The sequence below is a fragment of the Homo sapiens genome, chromosome 14 (genome assembly GCF_000001405.40).
Source record: "Homo sapiens chromosome 14, GRCh38.p14 Primary Assembly".
Taxonomy (NCBI): Eukaryota; Metazoa; Chordata; class Mammalia; order Primates; family Hominidae; genus Homo; species Homo sapiens.
In genome coordinates this window covers 47,093,260-47,119,703 of record NC_000014.9, presented here as the reverse complement: position 1 = coordinate 47,119,703, position 26,444 = coordinate 47,093,260, and the positions used below count along the sequence as shown (strand labels likewise).

The 26,444-nt window shown below is 36.8% G+C and overlaps 1 protein-coding gene across 11 annotated transcripts in view, besides 3 other annotated features; it reads left to right on the top strand.

Annotated features, from left to right (window-relative positions):
* MDGA2 (MAM domain containing glycosylphosphatidylinositol anchor 2) overlaps window positions 1-26,444 on the top strand; it is an 835,983-nt gene that overhangs the window by 555,902 nt on the left and 253,637 nt on the right. For all 11 annotated transcript variants that reach the window (NR_103766.2, XM_011536519.3, NM_182830.4 and 8 more), the window contains one exon: window positions 22,581-22,850. Coding sequence is in view for 9 of the 11 variants with exons in the window: in XM_011536519.3 (XP_011534821.1) it covers window positions 22,581-22,850 (270 nt within the window). In the remaining 2 variants the exon portion in view is untranslated. The remainder of the gene's footprint in view (window positions 1-22,580; window positions 22,851-26,444) is intronic.
* Window positions 10,540-11,521: an enhancer, noted in NCBI's record as "OCT4-NANOG-H3K27ac hESC enhancer chr14:47577386-47578367 (GRCh37/hg19 assembly coordinates)". NCBI's record gives its function as "activates a minimal SCP1, AML or CMV promoter by ChIP-STARR-seq in naive H9 embryonic stem cells {active_cell/tissue: H9 hESC(naive)}" and the evidence as "EXISTENCE:reporter gene assay evidence [ECO:0000049][PMID:30033119]".
* Window positions 15,117-15,676: an enhancer, noted in NCBI's record as "OCT4-NANOG-H3K27ac hESC enhancer chr14:47573231-47573790 (GRCh37/hg19 assembly coordinates)". NCBI's record gives its function as "activates a minimal SCP1, AML or CMV promoter by ChIP-STARR-seq in naive H9 embryonic stem cells {active_cell/tissue: H9 hESC(naive)}" and the evidence as "EXISTENCE:reporter gene assay evidence [ECO:0000049][PMID:30033119]".
* Window positions 15,677-16,238: an enhancer, noted in NCBI's record as "OCT4-NANOG-H3K27ac hESC enhancer chr14:47572669-47573230 (GRCh37/hg19 assembly coordinates)". NCBI's record gives its function as "activates a minimal SCP1, AML or CMV promoter by ChIP-STARR-seq in naive H9 embryonic stem cells {active_cell/tissue: H9 hESC(naive)}" and the evidence as "EXISTENCE:reporter gene assay evidence [ECO:0000049][PMID:30033119]".

The following is a 26,444-nucleotide window of genomic DNA, read 5'->3' as shown; positions in this document are numbered from 1 at the left end:
ATTCCCTTGATCAGGAATACTTTATAAAGTCCTGTATTACTGCATATTTTCTTTCAAATTTAAACTTAGTTCAATGTGAAGAAAGCCGTAATGTTAGTGGCTTTGTTTTTTCATTTTGGAATCATCAGTAAAAAGCAATCTGATGTGATAGCCACATAAAATTATGATACTGTGAACTGTACAAAGACATTATATTACATTTTAAGGAACTGAAATATTCACTGAATATGCATGGTCTGCACACTAAACATTGTGTGTTTAAGAAAAATGTTAGATATGAATACAAGTTTAATAAAGCATTATTGTATGCATACAGATCCACAGTTAAAGAATATGTAGGGCCGGGCCCGGTGGCTCACGCCTGTAATCCTAGCACTTTGGGAGGCCGAGGCGGGCAGAGCACGAGGCCAGGAGATTGAGACCATCCTGGCTAACACGGTGAAACCCCGTCTCTACTAAAAATACAAAAAATTACCCGGGTGTGGTGGCGGGTGCCTGTAGTCCCAGCTACGGGGTGGGGGGGGGGGGGCGGGGCTGAGGCAGGAGAATGGCGTGAACCCAGGAGGCGGAGCTTGCGGTGAGCCGAAACTGCGCCACTGCACTCCAGCCTGGGCGACAGAGCGAGACTCCGTCTCAAAAAAAAAAAAAAAAGAGAATATGTAGGCTGGACATGGTGGCTCACACCTGTAATCCCAGTCTCTGCTTTGGGAGGCAGAGGCAGGAGGATTGCTCAAGGCTGGGAGTTTGAGACCAGCCTGGGCAATATAGTGAGACCTCATTTCTATGAAAAATAATTTAAAATATTATCCAGGTATGGTGGTGCATGCCTGTAATCCCAGCTACTTGGGAGGCTGAGGCAGGAGAATCACTTGAGCCTGCCAGGTTGAGGCTGCAGTGAGCTCTGATCACGCCGCTGCACTCCAGACTGAACGACAGAGTGAGAGACCTTTTTTTGTTGTTGATGTTGTTGTTTTTATAAAAAAAGCGTATATAATATGGGTCTAACTTTCAAGTCATTGGAGAGTTAAATAGGCAAATCAATACACATATACATTAAGAACTTGGAAAACAAAATAATTCTATATTGAAAACAAATGGTATTTTTTGTTTTTGCTCTACAAGGATATTTCAGTAGCTCATTAATCAGATAAAAAAGAGAAATGTGATGGTACCAAAATCTGTATTGAAAATACCAGAACTAGAATTTGAAAGCTGTATTTTCAGTAGCTTCGAGAAATAAAATATTGACAGAGAGGAAGTGAATTCATAGGTGATCCAATGTTTTATGTTTCATTTAAAAATAGTATTAAAAGGTTTTGTTGCTTTTTAATATTTCTTTAAGCAATATTCAATTTTGTGTAGTAACCTATTTAGTTCTTCTATATGTATTCCATTACAGTATTATCTTATTCAAAAAATAAATACCTCCTTTATCATGTAGGAGCATTGTCCTAGAACATGGCAACAATCTGCTCTGAATGTCTGAAATCCCTGATAAGAAATGTAGCTCCTTGAATAGTTAGGCTTGAATTGGCTCTTGTTGAAATTAGATCTGTGATAACAATACTAAGCAGCATTAAGTATTTATGGTAAGTCAATAAGTAATGACACCTACTACAAGGTCTGTAGTTTAAAATTGTCATTTTATTCAGGTAAAACACTTTTTTATGGCTTTGTAATTCAGTTCAGTAAATTGGCTTCTAACTGCATGCAAAACTTGGAACTAAATCCCTCTCCTTGGCACATTTATTTTTTAAAACATGGTTTTTAAATTTTATTTTATTAATTGCAGTAAGAACTCAACATGAAATATATGCTTCTAAAGTTTTAAGTGCACAGTACATTATTGTTGACTATAATTGCAATGTTGTACCACAGATCTCTAGAGCTTATTCTTCTTGCTTGACTTAAACTTTATGCCTGTTGATTAGTAACTCTTCATTTCCCTCCTCACTCAACCCCTGATAGCCACATTTCCACCCTTTGATTCTATGATTCTATGAATTTGACTACTTTAGGTACCTTATATAAATGCAATTGTGCAATATTTCTCTTTCGGGCTCATTTCACTTAGCATAATGTTCTGAAGGCTCATCTATTTTGTCACATATTGCAGACTTTGCTTATTTTTTCAGGCCAAATAATATTCCATTATATGTACATACCACATTTTCTATATTCATTCATCAGTTGATGCACATTTAGGTTACGTGCACCTCTTGACTGTAGTGAACAGAGCTGCAGTGAATATAGGAATCCTAATATATCTTTGAGATCCTGATTTCATTTCTTTTGGAAAAATAAGCAGTCCTGGAAGTAGGATTACTGGGTCATATGGTAGACACAGTTTTAATATTTTGAGGAACCTCTATATCGTTTTCCATTGCAGCTGCACCAGTTTGCATTGCACGAAGCTTCCAGTTTCTTCACATCCTTGCTGACACTTATCGTCTTTCTTTAAAAGTAGTAGTCATCCTGACAGGTGTGAGTTGGTATCTTATTGTGATTTTGATTTGCATTTCCTTTATGATTTGTAACACTGAGCATTTGTTCATATACTTATCCATTTGTGTGTCTTCTTTGGAGAATGTCTGTTCAAATCTTTATCCCATTTTTGAATCAGGTTATTTGTTGTTTGTTTGTTTTTTGCTATTGAGTTTTGGGATTTCCTTAAATATTTTGAAATCTCAATTGGATATATGGTTTGCATTTTGTTTTCTCCCACTTAATAGGCTGTCTTTTCACTCTATTTTTTTTTCTGTGCAGAACCTTTTTTTTTATTTTGATGTGGTCCCACTTGTTTATTTTTGTTGTTGTTTTCTATGCTTTTGTGTTATATCTATGAAATCATTCCCAAGATCAATGGAATGAATCTTTTCCTCTATGTTTTCTTATAGTAGTTTTATAATTTTGTGTCTTATATTTAAGCCTTTAGTCCACTTTGAGTTGTTTTTGGTGTATTGTGTAAGTTAGGGATCAGATTTAATTTTTTTCTTTGCACATGGATATCCAATATTTCCAACATCTCTTGTCTTTGTCTAGGAGACTATCTTTTTCCCATTGTGTTTTCTTGACCCACTTGTCAAACATATATTTGTGGATTTGTTTCTGGGCTCTCTATTCTGTTCCATTTGTCTATTTGTCTGTCTTTATGCCAGTGCTCTACTGTTTTGATTACTATAGCTTTGCAATACAGTTTGAAATCAGCTAGTGTGCTAACTCCTGCTTTGTTCTCCATCCTCAAGATTGATTTGGCTATTTGTGGTTTTTGTGGTTCCATATGAATTTTAGAATTTTTTTTCTATTTCTGTAAAAAATACCATTAGAATATTAAATGAGATTTCATTGAATCTGTAGGTCACTTTGGGCAGTATGGACATTTTAACAATATTAAGTCTTCCAATCCATAAAATGTGATGTCTTTTCATTTGTTTGTGCCCTGTTTCACCTCCTTCACCAATGTTTTGTAGTTTTTAGTATACAAGCCTTTTGCTTCCGTAGTTAAGCTTATTCCCAGGTATTTAATTTTTTTGGTGTTATTGTAAATGTGATTGTTTTTCAAATTTTCTTTTTAGATAACTTGTTGTTAATAGTACAAACAGGACTGGTTTTTGTACATTTATTTTGTATCCTGCAATTTTCCTGAAGTATTTTTTCATAGAGTTTTTAGGGCTTACTATAAATAAGATCATATGTTCTGCAAACAGGGACAGTTTCACTCGTTCCTTTTCAGTTTTAATGCCTCCTATTCTTTTTTCTTGCCGAATTACTCTGGCTGGGACTAACACTACTGTGTTGAAAAGAAGTGGTGAAAGCAGGCATCCTTTCCGTATTCCAGACCTTATAGGAAAACCTTTTTGATTTTCACACTGAATATGTTATTATCTGTGGGAGTTACATATAGGCTTTTATTAATATAAGGTAATTTCCTACCATTCCTAGTTTGTTGAGAGTGTTATCATGAAAGGGTGCTGAATTGTGACTAATGCTTTTTCTACATCTATGAAGATAATCATGTGATTTTTATCCTTTATTCTACTAATGTAGTGTATCACATTAATTGATTTTCTTATGTTGAATGATACATTTCTTTTTAACAAATGATGCTCTGAATCTTTTTCTTTCTCCTTTTCCCCTCTTTTTATTTAATTAACCATGTGGAAGGCATATCAATATAAACATAGAAATAAAAAAAAACTTGATATATCTGTGCCTGAAAAGCAAATATCTCACACAAACATTTAAGACAAAATCTATATATTTCTCGGGTTTCTTAGGGAAGGCCTTAATTTATTGAGGCACGTCTGCCTTCTAGAATTAGTCTCCTCATCCAGACATCTTCAATGCACACATATCCATTAAAGGGTAGAGCAGCAATCCCAGACATGAGCTAGTAATGAGTATTTGGTAAGATTTGAAGTATATATGACACAGTACTTGTCTGAGTTGTGACCCAACTCAAGCAATCAAGATATTATATTCTTATTGTATTTTATAAAATTACTTCTGGAATTAAAAGTAATTGACAGTTGTAATGCTTGAATGTGTTAAGTATGAATTTATATGTAATTTGAATGCTTTTATTTATTTTATCTGCCCTTTAGTCTAGAGTGTATTCAGCAGAATGTTGATCACTTTTGTCCTTTTGTCCACTTCTTATGTTTTACATTATACCGTAAAAGCATAAGCAAAAATTTTCTTCCATTTTGTAGGTTGGCTCGGATGATAGGCATTTTTTTTTTTTTTTTGGCTGTGCAGAAGCTCTTTGGATTACTCGGGTCCCATTTGTCAATTGTTGCTTTTGTTGCAATTGCTTTTGACGTTTTTGTCATGAAATCTTTGCCCATGCCTATGTTCCAAAAGGTATTGCCTAGATTTTCTTCTAGGGTTTTTATAGTTTGGGGTTTTACATGTAAGTCTTTAATCCGTCTTAAGTTAATTTTTGTATAAGGTGTAAGGAAGTGGCCTAGTTTCAATTTTCTGCATATGGCTAGCCCATTCTCCTAGCACTATATATTAAATAGGGAATCTTTTCCCCATTGCTTGTTTTTGTCAGGTTTGTCGAAGATCAGATGGTTGTAGATGTGCAGTTTTATTTCTGAGATCTCTATTCTGTTCCATTGGTCTATGTGTCTGTTTTGTACCACTACCCTGCTGTTTTGGTTACTGTAACCTTGTAGTATAGTTTGAAGTTGGTAGTGTGATGCCTCCAGCTTTGTTCTTTTTTGCTTAGGATTGTCTTGGCTATATGGGCTCTTTTTGGGTTCCATATAAATTTAGTAGTTTTTTCCTAATTCTGGGAAGAATGTCAATGGTAGTTTAATTAGAATAGCATTGAATGTATAAATTATATTGGGCAGGATGACCATTTTCACCATATTGATTCTTCATATCCATGAACATGGAATGTTCTTCCATTTGTTTGTGTCCTCTTTGATTTCCTTGAACAGTGGTTTGTAGTTCTCCTTGAAGAGGTCGTTAACTTCCCTTGTTAGCTGTATTCCTTTGGTATTTTATTCTTTGGTATTTTATTCTCTTTGTAGCAGTTGTGAATGGGAGTTCACTCATCATTTGGCTCTCTGCTTGTCTACTGTTTCTGTATAGGAATGCTTGTGATTTTTGCACATTGATTTTGTATCCTGAGACTTTGCTGAAGTTGCTTATCACCTTAAGAAGCATTAGGGGTGAGATGATGGGGTTTTCTAGATGTAGGATCGTGTCATCTGCAAATAGATACAGTTTGACTTCCTCTCTTTCTATCTGAATACCCTTTATTTCTTTCTCTTGCCTGATTGCCCTGGCCAGAACTTCCAGTACTATGTTGATTAGGGTTGGTGAGAGATGGCATTCTTGTCTTGTGCTGATTTTCAAGGGGAATGCTTCCAGCTTTTGCCCATTCAGTATGATATTGGCTGTGAGTTTTTCATAAATGGCTCTTATTATTTTGAGGTGTGTTCCATCAATACCTAGTTTATTGAGAGTTTTTAACATGAAGGGATGTTGAATTTTATCAAAGGCCTTTTTGGTGTCTGTTGAGATAATCAAGTGGTTTTTGTCTTTAGTTCTGCTTATGTGATGAATTATGTTTATTGATTTGTGTATGTTGAACCAGTCTTGCAAGTTGAAGCTGACTTGATCGTGGTGGATAAGCTTTTTGATGTACTGCTGGATTCAGTTTGCCAGTATTTTATTGAGGATATTCGCATGGATGTTCATCAGAGATATTGGCCTGCAGTTTCCTTTTTTTATTGTATCTCTGCCAGGTTTTGGTACTAGGATCATGCTGGCCTCATAAAGTGAGTTAGGGAGGAGTCCCTCCTTTTTGATCGTTTGGAATAGTTTCAGTAAATCCATCCGGTCGTGGGCCTTTTTTGTTGTTGTTGTTGTTGGTAGGCTATTTATTATTGCCTCAATTTCAGGCCTTGTTATTGGTCTATTCAGGGATTCAACTTGGGAGGGTGCATGTGTCTAAGAATTTATTAATTTCTTCTAGATTTTCTAGTTTGTTTGAATGGAGGTGTTTATAGTATTCTCTGATGGTTGTTTGTATTTCTGTGGAGTCAGTGGATATCCAGAATCTACAATGAACTTAAGCAAATTTATAAGAGAAAAATATTCCCGTTAAAAAGTTAGCAAAGGACATGAACAGACACCTCTCAAAAGAAGATACTTAAGCAGGCAACAAGCATATGAGAAAAAGCTCAACATCACTGATTACTAGAGAAATGCAAATGAAAACCACAATGAGATACCACCTCATGCCAGTCAGAATGATGATTATTAAAAAGCCAAGAAACAACCAATGCTGGTGAGGCTGTGGAGAAATAGGAATGTTTTTACACTGTTGGTGGGAATGTAAATTAGTTCAACCATTGTGGAAAGACAGTGTTGTGATTCCTCAAAGACGTAGAACCAGAAATACCATTTGACCCAGCAATCCTATTACTGGGTATATACCTAAAGGAATATAAATCATTCTATTATAAAGATATATGCACACATATGTTCATTGCAGCACTGTTTCCAATAGCAAAGACATGGAATCAACCCAAATGCCCATCAGTGATAGACTGGATAAAGCAAATGTGGTACATATATACCATGGAATACTATGCAGCCAGAGAAAGGAACGATGTTCTTTGCAGGGACATGGATGGAGTTTAAAGCCATTTTATTCAGCAAACTAATGAGGAACAGAAAACCAAATACTGCATGTTCTTACTTATAAGTGGGAGCTGAACAATAAGGACCCATGGACACAGGGAGGAGAACAACACACACTAGAGCCTGTCTTGAGGGGTAGAGGGAGGGAGAGCATCACGATAAATAGCTAATGAATGCCAGGCTTAATACCTAGGTGATGGGTTTATAGGTGCAGAAAACCACCATGGCACACGTTTACCTATGTAACAAAGCTGCATGTCCTGCACATGTATCCCAGAACTTAAAATAAAATAACACATTTTTTAAAAAAGCATAAGCAAAAAATTTTCTCATTCTGTCTCCCTTTTTCTCCTCACTCTTTCTCTTCTCTTCCCATTTCTTTTATCTTTCTTTCCTCTCCCGCTTTTTTTTACTGTTGAATAAACTTTGCCATTGTTCTGCATTCCAGGTTCCTCATCTCAGTCCTTTCAACTTAGCCCCTTTGTTGTTCATATTACAGGTTCATGATAAAGAGTTAGCCTGGGCAGACAGTAAGAGCATGAGCTCTGCAGTCAGACAATCTACATCCTTGTCAGGCTCTTCCTTGGAGAACTATGTAATTTTTGTGTCTCAAAATCTTCATCTTATTACTAACATCTAGCTGCTCAAGTGTATTACCTCTTATCTTTTTTAATCTGGCATTTTGGGGTGATAGTTGAAACATATGGAAGATAGGTTAATATTGTACTTTGTGACCCCATTTACTGTTCTATATTAGATAGTTGTTTCTTTCACTCTTTTCTTGCTGGCAGATTACCAACTGCTACTGTTGCTCTCCATTTTCCTGCCTCAAGAAGTCTTTCCATTTTAAATTTCTCCTCGTTACCTCTTAGATTCTGAGAATTTAAATCACTGAGCCAATTAAAAAGTTTTGTATGTGTGAGATGTGAACATATCCAGAGCAATGGCTTAAGAACCTCTTCCACGGACACTTCAGGATTTAGGCTTTGTAATTATGACTTATGTGGTTCACAAATCCTTTTCAACTTCTATTTTGGATGGTGAATATTTCTGCAATTCTGACTAGCAAATCAAGTTTGTTTTTACTCTATCCAATTTTTTCATAATATACTAGATGGCATCAATGCTATTCCTTCTTTCTGTTAGAGAGGCAGCACTAATTCTTCTCCTGGCCTAAATATCATCCAATATTCAATCAAACTTGGAAATTATGAATTTTGTTTATTTTGCATTGGAGTTTACCTACAGCCTTTTACATTCATCTTAAGCCAGATTCCCTAGAATAGAATCCCAGCTTCACTTTTCACTAGCTGTGTGACTTAGGGGTTATCAAAAGTGTTTCTAAATGGTTTCTCAGTTTGGTAAAAAATAAAATAAAGTAATAATAGTACCTACCTCCTATAATTAAATGAGTTAATGTATGCAAAGCTTTTGGAGAATGTCTAGGACATTTTAAGGGCTATAATTGTCTCCTAATTACAAACTCCACAAGGGCAGGATTTTGGCCTGTTTTTTTTCTAACATCTCCAATGCCTGGTATGCAATTGGTACTTAATAAATATATGTTGAATTAGGATTTTTTCTTAAAATAGAACATACGTACATCTCTAAATTTACAATGAGTTTATTTGGTAGTAATTGTTGGCCTAGCTAATTAATCCCCTGATGTGATTTTTAATCTTTGCTATATCATGGAACCAATGTAGACATTTGAGTAGCCAAACATAGATATATCATAGATTAAGAGGCTATATGTGCAGATGTTTTCCTAATCATGATAAAAACTTGCTCTAAGCAATCCTTTAGAAATTATGTAACAGAATTTTCTCACTTTTTAGAAGAGCAAACAGAGGCCCAGCAGAGTTAAATTTATTCAACATTATCCTTTAAGATTGGCTATAAATAAATGTTAGCCAAAATTTCTATAAAATAAAGTTACAGAGTCATAAAGGTGTTCAAAATATTACACTGTGATAAAGTGTCCCCAGAATGGATTATGAAAAAGAAAACTAATCTTTTTCAGACAAAATATTTTTCCCAGTAGGAGAGTACCTTTCCATATGGTACAAAATGAAAAAGTAAAAACTATAGCTATGAAATCAACACCAGATGGTCTTAGAGGTGATGTCTTTATCTCTTCTGCTGTTGCTATTTTACACTCAGAAAAGAGCTTTAAATCTTGACTAATTTGCTAAATCCCCATTAAAGTATGTACATACTAGCCCTCTTGTGAAAAAAGCCACGTAGCCTTTATTTTGGTTTCAGAGTCAACATTCGGCTGAGTTACATGGTTTATTAAAAATAATGTTCAATGGTATAAATGAACAAATAAGTACAAAGGAGTGCAAACAGTACACTGTATTTTTTTTTTTTGGGAGTGGTGCATTACATTTTGATAGATAAATGCTTTGCCATCTCCTTGTTAGTAATATAAAACATAGGTAAGTTTAAATGGGTAGAACAATGAAATAACTTGCAAGTTGTCATAACTAGAATTTGTCAATAAATGGCTCATGAAATTCTTATCATCTGTCACACTATTTCACAGTGTTTGTAGGTTTTTTTGATTATTTTATTTTACTTTCTGTAGTTTTTGAAACAAAGTCTCGCTGTCTCCCTAGGCTGGAGTGCAGTGGCACAATCTCGGCTCACTGCAGCCTCTATCTCCCGGATCCTAACAATTATCTTGCCTCAGCCTCCCAAGTAGCTGGGACTACAGGTCTGTGCCACCACACCTGGCTAATTTTTGTATTTTTGGTAGAGGCATATTTTTGCCATGTTGGCCAGGTTGGTCTTGAACTCCCGACCTCAAGTGTTACTCCTGCCTTGGCCTCCCAAATTGTGGGATTACAAGTGTGAGCCATCATGCCTGGCCTTTTGATCATTTTAAATTAAGTTTGATGAATACTCAGAGCTTAGATGGAGTTTTGGTTTAATAATTTTTAAATTCAACTTTCTTTTATTCAGTAAAATTTTATTGAGCACCTATTCTTTGTCAAATACTCTTCTGGGTGCTGGTGGTACAAAGATGAAAAACACTACCCTTTTTACTCTGATGTCCTACTCCTAAATATCTCACAGTGAAAGCATAGGGGCAAATGTCCTAATGAGGGGGTATTATAAAGAGCTATTCTCACACAAAGAAAGAAGCAACTCAGTTGGTCTGGACAAAAGCTGGAAATTTTGGTGAAGAATTGTTATTGTTATTTGAGCATGATAAATTGCCTGATGACTGGTTTAATGAGTGGACAAGCACTGGAAGAGAATTCCAGGTAGAAGAAATAGAAAGTTCATGCTCTGCTGATTTTGTGGTGAAAGTGTCTTTACAGTCTAGTACTGTGCTTAAAATTCTGGTGTTTTCCATTAATAACAAGAAAATTTTATGGACAACAAACACTTCAGTTGGAAATGCTTAGCTTGGATTTTTCTCTCTATGGGAGCTGACCCTCTGGGATTCTGCAGCAAGTGAATGCTCAGCTTCCTGTAAACTTGAATGAGACCAAGTTTGCCAGGACCTCACCTGTTGGAAAGAACAGTAAAGGATTGTTGATCAAGGGAAGGAGATATGTGTAGTGCTAATTTTTTTCTTCATCATACCTTGTCAATGTTTATAAAGACCTTTCACGCTGCTAGGTATTAGTACCCCAACTATTGGTATAGCTTATACACGGGGATCATCTTTTTTGCTTCACTGACTTTTGCTCACCTTAGAACACAAGTTCTGTTTCTCTAGCTTTTCTATTTATATTGTTCAGTGAATAGATTTCAGCATTTTCTTGCGCATCCGTGTGAAGAGAGCACCAAACAGACTTTGTGTGAGCAACATGGCTGTTTATTTCACCTGGGTGCAGGCGGGCTGAGTCCGAAAAGAGAGTCAGCGAAGGGAGATAAGGGTGGGGCCGTTTTATAGGATTTGGGTAGGTAAAGGAAAATTACAGTCAAAGGGGGTTTGTTCTCTGGCGGGTAGGAGTGGGGGTCGCAAGGTGCTCAGTGGGGGTGCTTTTTGAGCCAGGATGAGCCAGGAAAAGGACTTTCACAAGGTAATGTCATCAGTTAAGGCAAGGACCGGCCATTTACACTTCTTTTGTGGTGGAATGTCATCAGTTAAGGTGGGGCAAGGCATATTCACTTCTTCTGTGATTCTTCAGTTACTTCAGGCCATCTGGGCGTATACGTGCAAGTCACAGGGGATGCGATGGCTTGGCTTGGGCTCAGAGGCCTGATATTCCTGCCTTCTTATATTAATAAGAAAAATAAAACAAAATAGTGTTGAAGTGTTGGGGCGGCGAAAATTTTTTGGGGGGTGTTATGGACCTTAAATGGGCTGTACCCTGTAGCATTCCGAGGACAGGCCTGAATTCTGAGAAGGGAATGTGGTAAAAGTATTGTCCAGTCCTTTTTAAGTTGGTGGCTGAGCTTGGTGAGGTGTGTTTTTAAAAGACCTTTAGTCCATTCTACTTTTCTTGAAGATGGAGGACCATAAGGGATATAAAGGTTTCACTGAATACCAAGAGCCTGAAAAACTGCTTGGCTGATTTGACTAATAAAGGCTGGTCTGTTATCAGACTGTATAGAGGTGGGAAGGCTAAACTGAGGAATTATGTCTGACAGAACGGAAGAGATGACTGCGGTGGCCTTCTCAGACCCTGTAGGAAAGGCCTCTACTTATTTTGAGGGCCTCTAAAAGTATTAAAGCAGCGGCAGCCACTGCACGCAGACATGAGGGCTAGGCTAAAACAGTAAGGTCAAGTTGTTTGGAGAGAAAGGCTACAGGGTGTGGTCCTGGCTCTTGTGTAAAAATTCTGACCGCGCTAACCATGCCTAGGAAGGAAAGGAGTTGTTTTGTAGAAGGTGCTTGGGTTTGAGAGATCAGTCGGACACGATCGGCAGGGAGAGCACGTGTGTTTTTATGAGAATTATGCCGAGATAGGTAACAGATGAGGAAGAAATTTGGGCTTGATTGAAGTAATGGGGGCTGTCTGTGAAGCTTTGCGGCAGTACAGCCTAGGTAATTTGCTGAGCTTGATGGATGTCAGGGTCAGTCCAAGGGAAAGCGAAGAGAGCCTGGGATTAAGGGTGCAAAGGAATAGTAAAGAAAGCATGTTTGAGATCTAGAACAGAATAATGGGTTGTAGAGGCAGGTATTGAGGATAGGAGAGTATATGGGTTTGGCACCACGGGGTTTATAGGCACAACAATTTGGTTGATAAGGTGCAGATCCTGAACTAACTTGTAAGACTTGTCTGGTTTTAGGACAGGTAAAATGGGGGAACTGTAAGGAGAGTTTATAGGCTTTAAAAGGCCATGCTGTAGCAGGTGAGTGATAACAGGCTTTAATCTTTTTAAAGTGTGCTGCGGGATGGGATATTGGCCTTGAGTGGGGTAAGGGTGATTAGGTTTTAATGAGATGGTAAGGGGTGCATGATCGGTCGCCAAGGAGGGAGTAGAGGTGTCTTATACTTGTGGGTTAAGGTGGGGGGATAGAAGAGGTGGACGCAAAGGAGGCTTTGGCTTGGGAAGAAGGGTGGCAATGAGATATAGCTGTAGTCCAGGAATAGTCAGGGAAGCAGATAATTTAGTTAAAGTGTCTCGGCCTAATAAGGGAACTGGGCAGGTGGGGATAACTAAAAAGGAGTGCTTAAAAGAGTATTGTCTAAGTTGGCACCAGAGTTGGGGAGTTTTAAGAGGTTTAGAAGCCTGGCCGTCAATACCCACAACAGTTATGGAAGCAAGGGAAACGGGCCCTTGAAAAGAGGGTAATGTGGAGTGAGTAGCCTCTGTATTGATTAAGAAGGGGACGGGCTTACCTTCCACTGTGAGAGTTACCGGAAGCTCGGCGTCTGTGATGGTCTAGGGGGCTTCCGAGGCGATCGGGCAGTGTCAGTCTTCAGCTGCTAAGCCGAGAAGATCTGGGAAGGAGTCAGTCAGAGAGCCTTGAGCCAAAGTTCCAGGGGCTCTGGGAGTGGCTGCCAGGTGAGTTGAACAGTCCGATTTTCAGTGGGGTCCCGCACAGATGGGACGCGGCTTAGGAGGAATCCCAGGCTGCGGGCATTCCTTGGCCCAGTGGCCAGATTTCCGGCACATGTAGCAAGCTCCTGTGGGAGGAGGTTCTGGAGGAACGCCTGGCTGCTGCGGTTCAGGCCTTTGGAAGTTCTTGTGTGCTGGAGATGTGGCTGGGGTTTGTCTCACAATGGAGGCAAGGAATTGCAACTTTTTTCTATTATGGTACACCTTGAAGGCGAGGTTAATTAAATCCTGTTGTGGGGTTTGAGGGCCGAAATTTAATTTTTGGAGTTTTATTTAATGTCGGGAGCAGATTGGGTAATAAAATGTATTTTGAGAATAAGACGGCCTTTTGACCTTTTAGGGTCTAGGGCTGTAAAGTGTCTCAGGGTTGCTGCCAAATGAGCCATGAACTGGGCTGGATTTTTATATTTGATGAAAAAAAGCCTAAACGCTATCCGATTTGGGATAAAGAAAAAGGAGCATTAACTTTGACTATTCCTTTAGCTCCAGCCACCTTTTTAAGAGTAAATTGCTGGGCAGGAGGGGGAGGGCTAGTCGGCTAGTCACGGAACGAAACTGTAAGCCGGACCAGGTGTGAGGAGGGGAGGTGATAAAAAGATTATAGGGTGGAGGAGCAGAGGCTGAGAAAGAATTGGGACCTAGCTCAGCCTGGCGAGGAGCAGCCTGGGGAGGAGGGGAGAGGTCAGATGGGTCTGTAGAAAAGGAAGATTAGAAAGACTCAGCGATGCTTGGGGTTGGTACTGAGGGGACAGGCGGGAGGGAAAGAAGGAAGATTTGGGACGAGTTGCACTGGTCACAGAGATTAGGAAGGGACTGATGTGTAAAAGAATGCCTGGACGTCAGGCACCTCAGACCGTTTGCCTATTTTACGACAAGAATTATTTCGATTTTGCAGGATGGAAAAATTCAAAGTGCCATTTTCTGGCTATTTGGAACTACTGTCGAGTTTGTATTGGGGTCAAGCAGCATTGCAGAAGAAAATAAGGCATTTAGGTTTTAGGTCAGGTGTGAGTTGAAGAGGTTTTAAGTTTTTGAGAACACAGGCTAAGGGAGAAGAAGGAGGAATGGAAGGTGGAAGCTTACCCATAGTGAAGGAGGCAAGCCCAGAGAAAAGAGTAGAGACACGGAGAAGGGGTGGGGGGTTCTTGCCCTCCAGAAAAGCAGAGAAGGGGTTGGGGCACAGAAATAAGGGATTGGGGCACAGAGATAAGAGGTCAGGGTGCAGAAATAAGGGATTGGGGCACAGAGATAAGAGGTTGGGGTGCGGAAATAAGCAATTGGGGGCTTCTTGCCCCCTAGGAAAGCAGGACTTGCCACTAAGGGTGAAGGAGAAGGGGCTGAGGGGTACTTGCCCCTGCCCCAGGAAAGCGGGACTTGCCGCTAAGGGTGAAGGACCAAGGCGGCGTCCCTGCGTGGTCTGACACCCTTGAAACGTGAGTGTATAATCAGAGAGGCGTCCCTGCAATGATTAAACACCAAGGGAAGGCTGCCTTCCAAGTCCGTGACCGGTGCCGGAGTTTTGGGTTCACAGATAAAACATGTCTCTTTTGTCTCCACCAGAAAATGAAAGGAATTGAAATTAAGAGAAGGGAGAGATTGAAGTGTGGCACCAAGATTGAAAGGAGAAAGAGGTTGAGGGATAGTGAGGGAGGTTGGAGAAGAGAGTAAAAAGAGGCCGCTTACCGGATTTGAAATTGGTGAGATGTTTGTTTCTTGGGCTGGTCGGTCTGAGGACCTGAGGTCGTAGGTGGATCTTTCTCACGGAGCAAAGAGCAGGAGGACAGGGGATTGATCTCCCAAGGGAGGTCCCCCGATCTGAGTCACGGCACCAAATTTCATGCACGTCCGTGTGAAGAGACCACCAAACAGGCTTTGTGTGAGCAACATGGCTGTTTATTTCACCTGGGTGCAGGCAGGCTGAGTCCGAAAAGAGAGTCAGCGAAGGGAGATAAGGGTGGGGCCGTTTTATAGGATTTGGGTAGGTAAAGGAAAATTACAGTCAAAGGGGGTTTGTTCTCTGGCGGGTAGGAGTGGGGGTCGCAAGGTGCTCAGTGGGCAGGAGTGGGGGGTCACAAGGTGCTCAGTGGGGGTGCTTTTTGAGCCAGGATGAGCCAGGAAAAGGACTTTCACAAGGTAATGTCATCAGTTAAGGCAAGGACCGGCCATTTACACTTCTTTTGTGGTGGAATGTCATCAGTTAAGGTGGGGCAAGGCATATTCACTTGTTTTGTGATTCTTCAGTTACTTCAGGCCATCTGGGCATATACGTGCAAGTCACAGGGGATGCGATGGCTTGGCTTGGGCTCAGAGGCCTGAGAAGCATAAGTGTCACTTACTATATTTTGCAAAGTCTTAGTTTACTGAAGAATGTAACTTTTGGCAGTTTTCTTTGCTCACCGTGCTCTAATGACATAAATATCCCAGTCAAGCCTGGTAAATGCATATGACTTCAGAGAACAGGCAGGTGAAGTAAACATACAAAGTCAGTTAAGACAAGGAGAGTCATGCAGAGTGTGCTGTTTCTCTTCTTGTTAAGTTGTAAACTTCTGACAGCAGGGATTCTTTGACTCTTTTGTTCGCTGATATATCACAGCTTACTGTCACAGGGCCTGATATCTAGTAGATGCTGTAGAAATACTTATGAATGAATGGGTAGGGAACCTATTGCACTAGGGAGAACAAGCAATGCCTAAAGGCATTCATCACTGTTGATAACAACAACAACAGATACTGTGCCAGGCAAACAAAGCCCATCTAGGGAATCTCTCATTTAGGATCCATGGTCATATGAATCGCATCTCTTCCTAAAAGTTATGCAATTTTTCAAAAAGGAACAGTATTCTGCCTTTGCAATCATTTCCATAAATGTCTGTCCTGTGAATATCAATGAGAAATGCATGTTGGCTTCAATATCTGTAGCAAAAGTTTACTCCTACATTAAAAACTGTTTATGAATACAATTTCAAATATTGTTATTTCCTAGAGCATCATTTTAAATAGAATTTCCCAGCATGATACCAATCTTGGGCTTCATGAGAGTCAATCAATATGTGAAGGATAGTATTTGAATAATAACTCCACATAAATGGGTAGATTATTTTGAGTTTTCACATCAACTTCTAATATATTATCTCATCTTTATTTTGTGAAATATTCACTGCTACTTATATTTCAATGAAATACCTGTTGAAAATGAATTTCAATGAAATATATGAAAGTACAGTGATATCTTCATCACAGTGAAGTGACTAGTTCTTCCAAGAGAAATATTTTTCTATTCCTTGAATCTGTAAGCACAGTTTAAGCATGTTTCTCTACATACAAGCTGGATTTAATTTGTTTAGCATATGTATGTGTTCTATGGTTTAAATAATGTAGAGTCACGGAACAGAAGCGGAAACTTAATTGTGTATTTTTACCTCGTCTCTCTTAAATTCATACTGTGCTCTCATTATTTCATTTTTCACCCATATCTTGATTGATAGGGGTGCTTTCACTTACCGCCTACCCCTTCCTTGTTCTTTCTTTACTCTTTACACATTGTCTCCATGTAGCCACTCGTTGATCACTGGATTTACATGGAAACAAAGTCATAGCAGACACAGTGGGTGTCTTGCCTTTCCTCCTGTCCTGGCCTGGAGGTTGCTGCAGTTTCTTTGGACAGATTGCATATTTATTCTTCGATCTGAGAACTTTCACTGAATGCAGGAATGTGTTCGACCAGGGCATGAGATGGGAAAGTTAAGGCCCAGAGAATAATTCCCAATTAATGAGGGACAGGAGTTGATAGATAAGCACCTGAGCCAGGCTCCTTGTTCTTTAGATAGAGAGCTTTGCGGTGCCCTTGACTTGGTCTCTCAGAGGGTTCCTAGCAGCTGGGAGCCAAGTTTCCCACAGTGATAACCTGCTCATCAGTGACCCTTTACTGGCTTTTCTTCCTTCCTTGTTTTGCCCTTTTCTGCTTCTTCAATATGTTTCCTGTGATCCCAGCCCAAATCAACTGCTGTGCCAGGACCTGCTTTCAAACTAAAGCAGATATTTCCTACCTGAGCATTTTAAAATTGGCGTTTATTCTGTTTTATTATTTATTTAGTTAGTTTGTGTGTGTGTGTGTGTGTTTGTGTGTGTGTGTGTGTGTGTGTGTGTTTCTCCTTCCTCACAATCTTCTCTGTGAATTAGGTTACTTTATAATACTCAGATTATTTCCATTCAAAAAAAAAAAAGTCTTGAGCTTAAATTAGAATATCTCTAATTCAAGGCAATTGGCAGGTTTATACAATTGTTAACTGCTTTATACTAAGTTGCTTAGAGTCTGGATGGAAAGCTGGGTTCCTTTTTCATAATTAAATGCTCCAGATGTACAGAGAGCCAAAGTCTGTAAGGATGTAAAGATGATTAACACTGTATCCTGCTTTCAGATTTTAAAAAGGATGCTTATCTTCATATTTACCTATTATGTTAGGTAGCGGCAAAAACAAAGCACCTAAGAAGTCAATGACCTGCTAAAATAGTGTTTTCTTTCTACATAATGTATTATTACTTAACCCCAAATTAAATATTTGTGTCACACACCAAGAAGACATCATGAGGAACTGAATCACTATAATTTTTAGTGGGCATGAACCCCAGTATACATACTTGGGTTTGAAAAATATGTATCTGTCTCTACTATGTCATAATTCAGTATTATTTTTTCTTTCAACTCTTTATTCTGCCATAACCTCAGAAAACTTTATCAATTTGGAATTCCCACTTAATTTAAATTCTAGGAGATGCTGTTGTACCAAGGCCTGGAGCATGATGTCTGAATCCTTTGACAGGCATATATTTCCTGAGACTTCTCTCATTCCTATTGTTTTTGGCACTTTTCAGTGCTAGCTGGTCTCTCTGCTCCCTCCATTCCACCATTGTGGGACTGGGAGCTGTCTCCCTGGAACATGGAGTATTTTCCATGAGATGACTATGTCCTTGTCTATATAGGCAGCCACACTCAGTGACCTCAAATAGGAAGGGACAAACTGATCTCCTATGATCTTGAATATCCAGATGTTTGGGATTTGGTGTGGGTGTCAAGAGGCCAGTTATTCCTCTCTTGGACCCACTGAAGTGTCTGTTGCTCAGTCCAAGAAAACTTTGTTTGCCAGGAGAAGAGGTGCTTATGGGGAAATAGGAAGAATTCCTTTTTCTCAAAGATATTTTCTAAAATATACTTTCTATGTTGCAGTTATTGAAATTCTATTGAGAGTTCATGATTTTGGAAAATAGAAACCACAGACTTTTTGTTCCCCTTTCCCTTCCTTTCTTTCCTTTTCTTTCTCTCTTCTCTTATTTTCTTGTCATTCGAAATCACTATGCCTCTCCAGGACCAATTTCTTTCTATCTATCTGTCTATCTATCTATCTATCTATCTATCTATCTATCTATCTATCTATCTATCGTCCCTCCATTCATCAAGTATCCCCACTACAGAGCACCTCAGGCATGCTAGAACATTGGCATCCTGATCTTTATGAGGAGACTCAAATCTCTGTGGCAATGTCTATCATGACCTGTGCCTTCCATTATTACATGTTGGAAGACTACCAGCCTGGTATTCTGACTGGCACCATAGTCATTTTTAAGCACTGCTTACAGAGAGAATGTTTACAGCTGGTGGTGTAGTTGGAATTATTTTAATGTAATTGGAGCCACAATTTGACACTAATTATAAAACATTTAAAATAATCTATAATTTAGAATATAAATGCTCTGCTTAATCAGAAAGTTTCCCTCTTTTTTACTTTACGTATTTCACCTTTTTCATTTTTCATTTTGGTTTGATGAAGATCTCAAATAAATATTTCATACTGTCTCATCCAGTGTTTCCTTATCCCATTTCAGTTTTCATGTTTGATTTTTTATTGCTTATCAATGAGAATAAACTAATAATCTATCTCACATGTTGCTGCGATGAATCAATGGACATTTACATTCTGTAATTGTTTTTTAGAACAGTGAACTTTTTTCATGGTAATAAGGGAATTTATGACCTCTATGACCTTCCATGTTTAACCTTATATAGTAATGAGATAATTCAATTAACACATGCTGTAGACGTATGCTAAACATGTACATGATTTAGTAAAATGAACTTTATCTTTCTTCATGTCTTATATACCCATATAAGTGCAGAAGAAGAAGCTTGTAATGGATAGAATGAGGGTGGTTGGGCAGTTTCAGGACATTGTGAAAAAGTATCACTTACCTACACAAGTGCTAACATAGATATAGTACCTTTTGCCCATGAGCTTTTAAAGGTCCTGGGAAAATGTTGAATCTTGAAAAACAATAGTTTCAATTTCCAAATAAAAATATTATAAAACAAAATTAATAATTATTTATTTGAAATGTAGAGATGTATTTAAATATGTTTTATATATATGGTATAGGACTTTCAAAAGTCAAAATGGTAGAGATATTTCTGCAGTATGCAATCAGAATAACTGTATTCTATAGTGACCACATATTTTATAGTAGTTACTCACTTATTCATTTTCCCATTTACTGCCTCGTGTTACTAATATTTATTAAGCACCCACTGAGTTCCAAGCACTGGACTAGGCTGTGAGGGTAAATAAATGATAAAAGAAAACACTTTGTGCATCCTTTGTACTAGCTATTATCAAAAGGACTTCAGATTACGCATGTTAAATTATCTAAATACTTCAAGATAGTTACAAGTATTTTCCCCCATTTCAACAATGGGAAATTGAGGCCCTCAACTGAAAACAAAGAACTTGCTCAAGTTCACACAGGTATTAAATGGCAGAGTCAAGACTTGAACCCAGGTACCTTACTCTAGAATTTGTACTCTTACCACTTAACTATCACATTATATAATACTTCAGAGAATGCAATCATGACACTTTTCATCTGGCTGAAGAGTCATATTGGTAGCCTGGCTAATATACAAGGTAATATGAAGAAAAAACTGGCAGGGGTAGCTATGGAAACCTATAAGAAGAGAATGACTAACCTATAATGTTTTATGTTACTCTTTGTATACCCCCAAATTAGCAAATGATTCATCCAATATGAAATATTTTCCTTAAAATATTTTAATGGACAAAAATATTTTTATGTTTTTCCTATATCAGTTTTTACTCAACGACATGATTTACACTGAAGCTTGCTTGATAAATCTGAATGTCTCTGGTTCTTAAGCAAAGCCTTATAGTTTTAAAAAGCTGATATTTATGAAATAAAAAGTAAAATACTAGAACAAAATGACAATGATTTCAACTTTTTTTTCTATTTTGAAATTTAAAGCTAGCAAATTTTGGTATTAAAATATATACAAATATTTTTAAAGTCTTGAAATTGTTAGCTGTTTTGTGGTCTATCTGGGCTATTTTTAGTTTCAGGTATAAACAGATAAAATAAGTGCCACCATCAATAAACGTAACTTGAGCAATACTGTGTTTCCAAGTCAAATTTGGAAGAAAACATTTTTAACAATGTTGTGAAGGTAGTTCTAAAATGTATTATAGTTAGAACAGTGATCTTGTTATATATGCATTATTTTTTGAGCTTTGAAATTATCTTAAGCTTTTTTGCATTAAATAATATCTAATAGAAAACAACTCATCCTATACAAATCAATTTCAGGGGCAAATATTCCCGGACTTAATGTCACCATTGGGTATGTCCATAGTCCAAATATATGCTGTTAATGGCCTTTAGGCCTTGGGCCTTTTAATTTGACTAAAATGTGATGTAAAAGAAATTAATCTGTTAATATGATATAAATGTTGAGATCTCTATATTTTAATCAAATACTTGTGTATGATTATGCTATTTACCTTAAGTCAGGGTATAGAGATTTTCTTTACCTCTTCATGATGATATATTAATAATTAAGTATAATATCTATTTTCAGAATATTTAATTAGTACTGTCCTCCATCAGTTTAACATTAAATAACTCTTTGAGGTTTTTTTCACCAAAATATGGCAACTTTTGCATACTTTTTTCATGATGTGCATTTCCCAACAGGTTTGTAATCATAAATATTTAGAATTTCATATTAACTCCTCAGAAGGGCTAATAGTATGACATTTTAAAAATTCCCATATTATTTAAAGTGATGTTAGAAGACTCAACATGAAACATTGATGCTTAAAAAGGTCATACAGGCACTTCATGTCTTTCCCATAGAACTGTAATGTGAAATTATTTTCTTGCCTTTTCTGGCTTTTTTTTTTTTTTTTTTCAAACACGGCAGACAGTTTTGAACTTCACAAGTAGTCTAGCTTTTATTCTGAGTAAAACACTCCTCAACTCTAAGCTGAAGTTAATATATTAAAAAAAACACAGTACAATTGAACAGTTTAAATATTTCCGATGTAGATTGATTTCATATAATACAGCTCTAACTTTGACAAAATATTTCTGAATGTGTCACTTGAAATGTCATTATAATGTATTTCTCCTGTTTTTATTTAGGGATGCATTATTTAGGCTAGCACGGCAGTGTAAGCAGAAAAAAAATGTGCTATATGTGAAGAAAGTTTTTGTACAGTTTCTATTTGGAGTGTTTGATGAAAAGGCTGCACACAGCTTTTTCTACTGAATGAATGTTTATCTTTGTATTTTTTAACCTAAAAGATTACAAAAGACTTGTTTTCAGTAAGGGATTTTTATAACCCAAACAGTAGTGGCAAGCATGGTTTGGTGGCTGTTTGAGCTCTTGAATGTTTGTTTCTAAGTTTTAAAGCTGTGTTGATAGGAGCTCACTGCCTAGACCTTTGTAAGTGAAGAGGTTAGAGATGAAGTATGGACACTGCATTAGAATTAGATGATTTTATTTTTTTCTTTCGAGAACAAAAATCAGGCTCACTGAATGGTAAAAGCCTGGGTGATCTATGACTTTATCTGTCACTTGGTTGTATTCAGATTGCAAAAATTTATCATTTCATCTCAGAATGATCCAAAAAATAAATAATTAACCATCTTCACCATGAAAATACAAGGACTGAATATCTGCAGTATCTGTACTGGGAATGACAAAAACAGAAGATGATTGTCAGCATTAAAAAAGAAAGGGATATTTTGTTTTAAAACCTTAATCATGCTTATTATTCCAATTTCAGAACAATAATCCAGGAAACATAAATTTTATTTCCCCTTTCTATGTGTAAGATTCTTAATACAGTTCTACATGTTTATACCATTTAATTAAAATATGAAACCATTAAATCTTGTTTAAATTTGAGTAATACAGTATGATTTTGGCAAAAGAGGACTATATTTCATTTTAATTTTTTGAATGAACCAATATAATGCATGCTGTTGAATTCTAGTTGTAGCATATCTAAATAGGTGCACGTTCTTCTGTTTATGTCTTTTAGCATCACCGTCAATTAAACTCTTGGTGGATGATCCTATAGTTGTAAATCCTGGAGAGGCCATAACATTAGTATGTGTTACAACAGGAGGAGAGCCTGCACCTTCTCTCACCTGGGTCAGGTCCTTTGGGACTCTGCCTGAAAAGACTGTTTTGAATGGAGGAACTTTGACCATACCTGCCATCACCTCAGATGATGCTGGTACTTACAGCTGCATTGCCAATAATAATGTGGGAAACCCTGCAAAAAAGTCCACCAACATCATTGTGAGAGGTAAGTTTGCTGAAAGAATGTTACAACGTAGATTCCTAGGTTAGGCTCTCAAAAAGCAAATAATGGTTGATATAAAATTACCTCCTCAAATATTGCATGTATCTGTAAAATACAGATAAAATCATGTATAAATAATAATGGTGGGTAATTATAAGTGGAACTTAAACAGGTTAAAGATTAATAACAGTGCTTTATATATGCGTTGAATAGCTTTCATAACATATTCTTAGTGATACCATCAAATGCTTTTTATAATATGTTGTTAGCTAAAAAAAGATTGAAAGAAAAAATGTGGCTTGCAGCATAAAACATTCACTGTGTAAAATATACACTGATTGTATAATAGTTTAGGAATTCAGTAAATTTATCAATTTAATAAACTTTTATTGAGCCCCTATTACAATCATGGCTTTAAATTGTGAGGTTATATAGAGATCTATCAAACATTACCCTGTACTCAGGATTCCACTGTCAGATAGTGAAAATAATATATATCAATAGTCATATGATACGGTGTTCTAAAAGAATAAACAAAAGATATAGAAATTAAAAAATGTATAGCCACTTCTGGCTGAGGTTATTAGGGAATATCTAATAACATTCATACTAGGTCTTATAGGTCGAGTAGTGTTTTGACAGATTGAAATTGAGAAAAGACAGAAAAGTCAGAGATAGAAGACGCAATGCTTATTTGAGGAACTGAAGCAAAATGTAAGTCACTAAGTCAAAGTAGCAATGCTGTTCTAATGTGGTCATTACCAGCTAGTATGCTGGCACCATTTAGGCATGTTTTCTCTCCATTTTGGAAGATGGAAAGAAGTTCTGAGGCAGATGTACAAAGAGACCATATGCTTCTTCATATCTCACTTCACCTGGTATGGTCCTGGGTTGGAAGTGGAGGGTGCACACTGAGGCCTCTGAAGTTAAAAGGGACATCCATATGCTGAAGATGACCTTTTGAACACGCAAATGAAAATTACTTATGATGGAAGCAAAACATAATCAAATGTATAGAGATAAACACTTGTGATTTTGTGAATGTAGATTGTGGTGGTTTTAGTTATCTGTTATTTTGCAAATTATTAGGAATATGCTATTTGACAAAAGTATACTCTATTCAAAACATTTCAAGGTACAGTGTAAATCAAAACACTATGAATAGCGTACCATCTGCCACAAAATTGTATACCATACAATATTTATTATATGTACATATGTACATGTATAACATGTATGATTATTTTATATATCAAAACAAAATAAAACATACTGCCAGTTAAACTACCATAATGTCTTATGAGATAGAAGATTATTGAAAAAGCTCTTCTAAATTTGTTTATACTTTGATTTTTTTTAAAATATGTCATTTATTGGCCTGCATAAAAAGGCCAATAAAAGCAAAATAATTTAATTTTTTATAATAGTTCACACTCAGAACTCGACTTCTAAATTAGTTTTTATTACAGGGTCATTGATGATCATGGTTTTCTATACGATATTGTTCTTGTGTCATTAAGAGCATTAATAATTCCAAATTATGGAGAAATACTGCCTCTGAGATTTTATTTTAAGTCAGGTCATGATTACTAATAGCAACCATGACAGACTATTGAATGTAAGAGGCATTCTGATCTCAGAATTGTTAAAATGTAAAAATAAAGATGGATTTTAGAATCAATGAAATGTGCTCTTTATTTCAATTGTTTAATGAACTTCTACTGCACAACTACCATGGGCTAAGGACTCAGCAAATGTAAGGAATGCATGAGTGTGACTGCAAAGATCAGTGACTAAATGTCTGCCCTCAAAGGAGTTACAGTTCTTTATGGAATACAGAAATACAAAGTAATCGTATATGGAAATATATAGAAAACAAAGAATTCACAATGGAAGTATCCAACTTTTATTTTTAAAATATTAGTATTGAGAAATGGGGCTCATTTTAAGCCTTGTGTCAGTGAGCAACCAGATTCTGTTCTCTCTCTACCCCATTTTTTTAAAAGAGAAATAGAAAAATTGTATTGTAATCGGTGTTTGTTTCATTTCTATTTTTTGTTTGCTTTAAAAATACTTGCTTTTCTAAGTAGGCATAAAATAATCTACCAAATCTTGCTGTAATTATTAAAGTATTGAAGTATGATGATTAAAGCATTGAAGTATTGAAGTATAATGATTAAAGTGTAATATTAAAGTACTGCAACATCTATCCTTAAGTGCCATGAATACAATGCAGAATCTTTTATTCCATTAGTTTATCAAGAACAGTAACTTGTTAGAGAAAAATGATGCATTGAATTTAATTTTCATAATGGGATCATTTGCAACTATATTGAATCCATGTACAACTGGCAAAATGTCCAATATAAAATATCTGTGTTGCTTATGCACCCTTTGTAAGGGACTAACCCAGTGAACAACAAATATGTGCCTAGGGTATGATTTTCTCCTCTCTACCCTACCTAACAGTTTTCACCTGTATCCTTACAAAAGAAAGTTTCCAACTTTGACATGAAAGACCTGAAATAAACAAAGCCTTAAAAATTTATTTCTTCAATTTTATGATTTCTTTTTATGCCTTTAATTTATCTGATGTGTACATTTGCATAATCATATTATATTGCCAGTGAGACTTCTCAGCAGTGGCATTCACATAATTCATAAAATCAAGTTTGTATATAATCTTACTGAATTTAGAAGTAGCCTTGGTTTTAAAGGATCCTAGATTAAACTGTGGGGAGAAAAACCACTACAATAATATGAGGCATCTGATTTCTGGTCTACAGAAGTCAAGAAATTCAGTTAAGGAAAACAGTTTTCTCTTTATTACATCAAAGAAATTATTTTCAAGGCTTCTGAATGTGTAGACCTCTGTGAGTCTTAGATTAATTGTGTCATGGATACAGTAGATATAGAAATCTAGGTTTATCTCCTCTCATTCTTCTCTGTAATTAAATCAGGATCCATGGACCAGGTTTCTGAGTAAGCATAAAGATATTTTGTGCATCGAATTCCCATCCTCATTTAAGAATGTCCATGCACAGCATAAGAGTGTAGAGTGCTGATAGAAATAAAATTCAAGAAACATTTCAGAATTCTTTATTCTACTTTTTTAAAAATAGAGAAGAGTGTAAAGTAAATAATGGAGATAACACTCTATGTAGATAAGAAGTAGAAAACTGAATACAAATCTCACATGGTTTACTACTTTGGGAGAACATTTATTAATGTAGCATCAATGCCTTTTCTTATAGTTTTTTAAGAAATTGCAGTGTCTGAGCTACATTTCTCATAAGTTAGGAGAGAAGCAGTTGCCTAATACACCTGAAGGGAATGTTACATTGATTTCCTAGCCACGTGTTGTACACCCTGAGCTCAATGCTTTCCAAACTCCTGTTAGATATGTCACTTCCATGTAAAGGTCTCTGTTTTCATGATTCGTTCTATTTAGAAATGCCTACATCTCTCTTCTCTCATGAATTAAATCACTGTGTTGAACATGTATGGTTCAAAATACCAAGACATTACTGTATTTTAGTGTATAGTGGCCTCTTTGAATGTTCTGTAGTATATTCAAAATCACAAACCCACATTTAG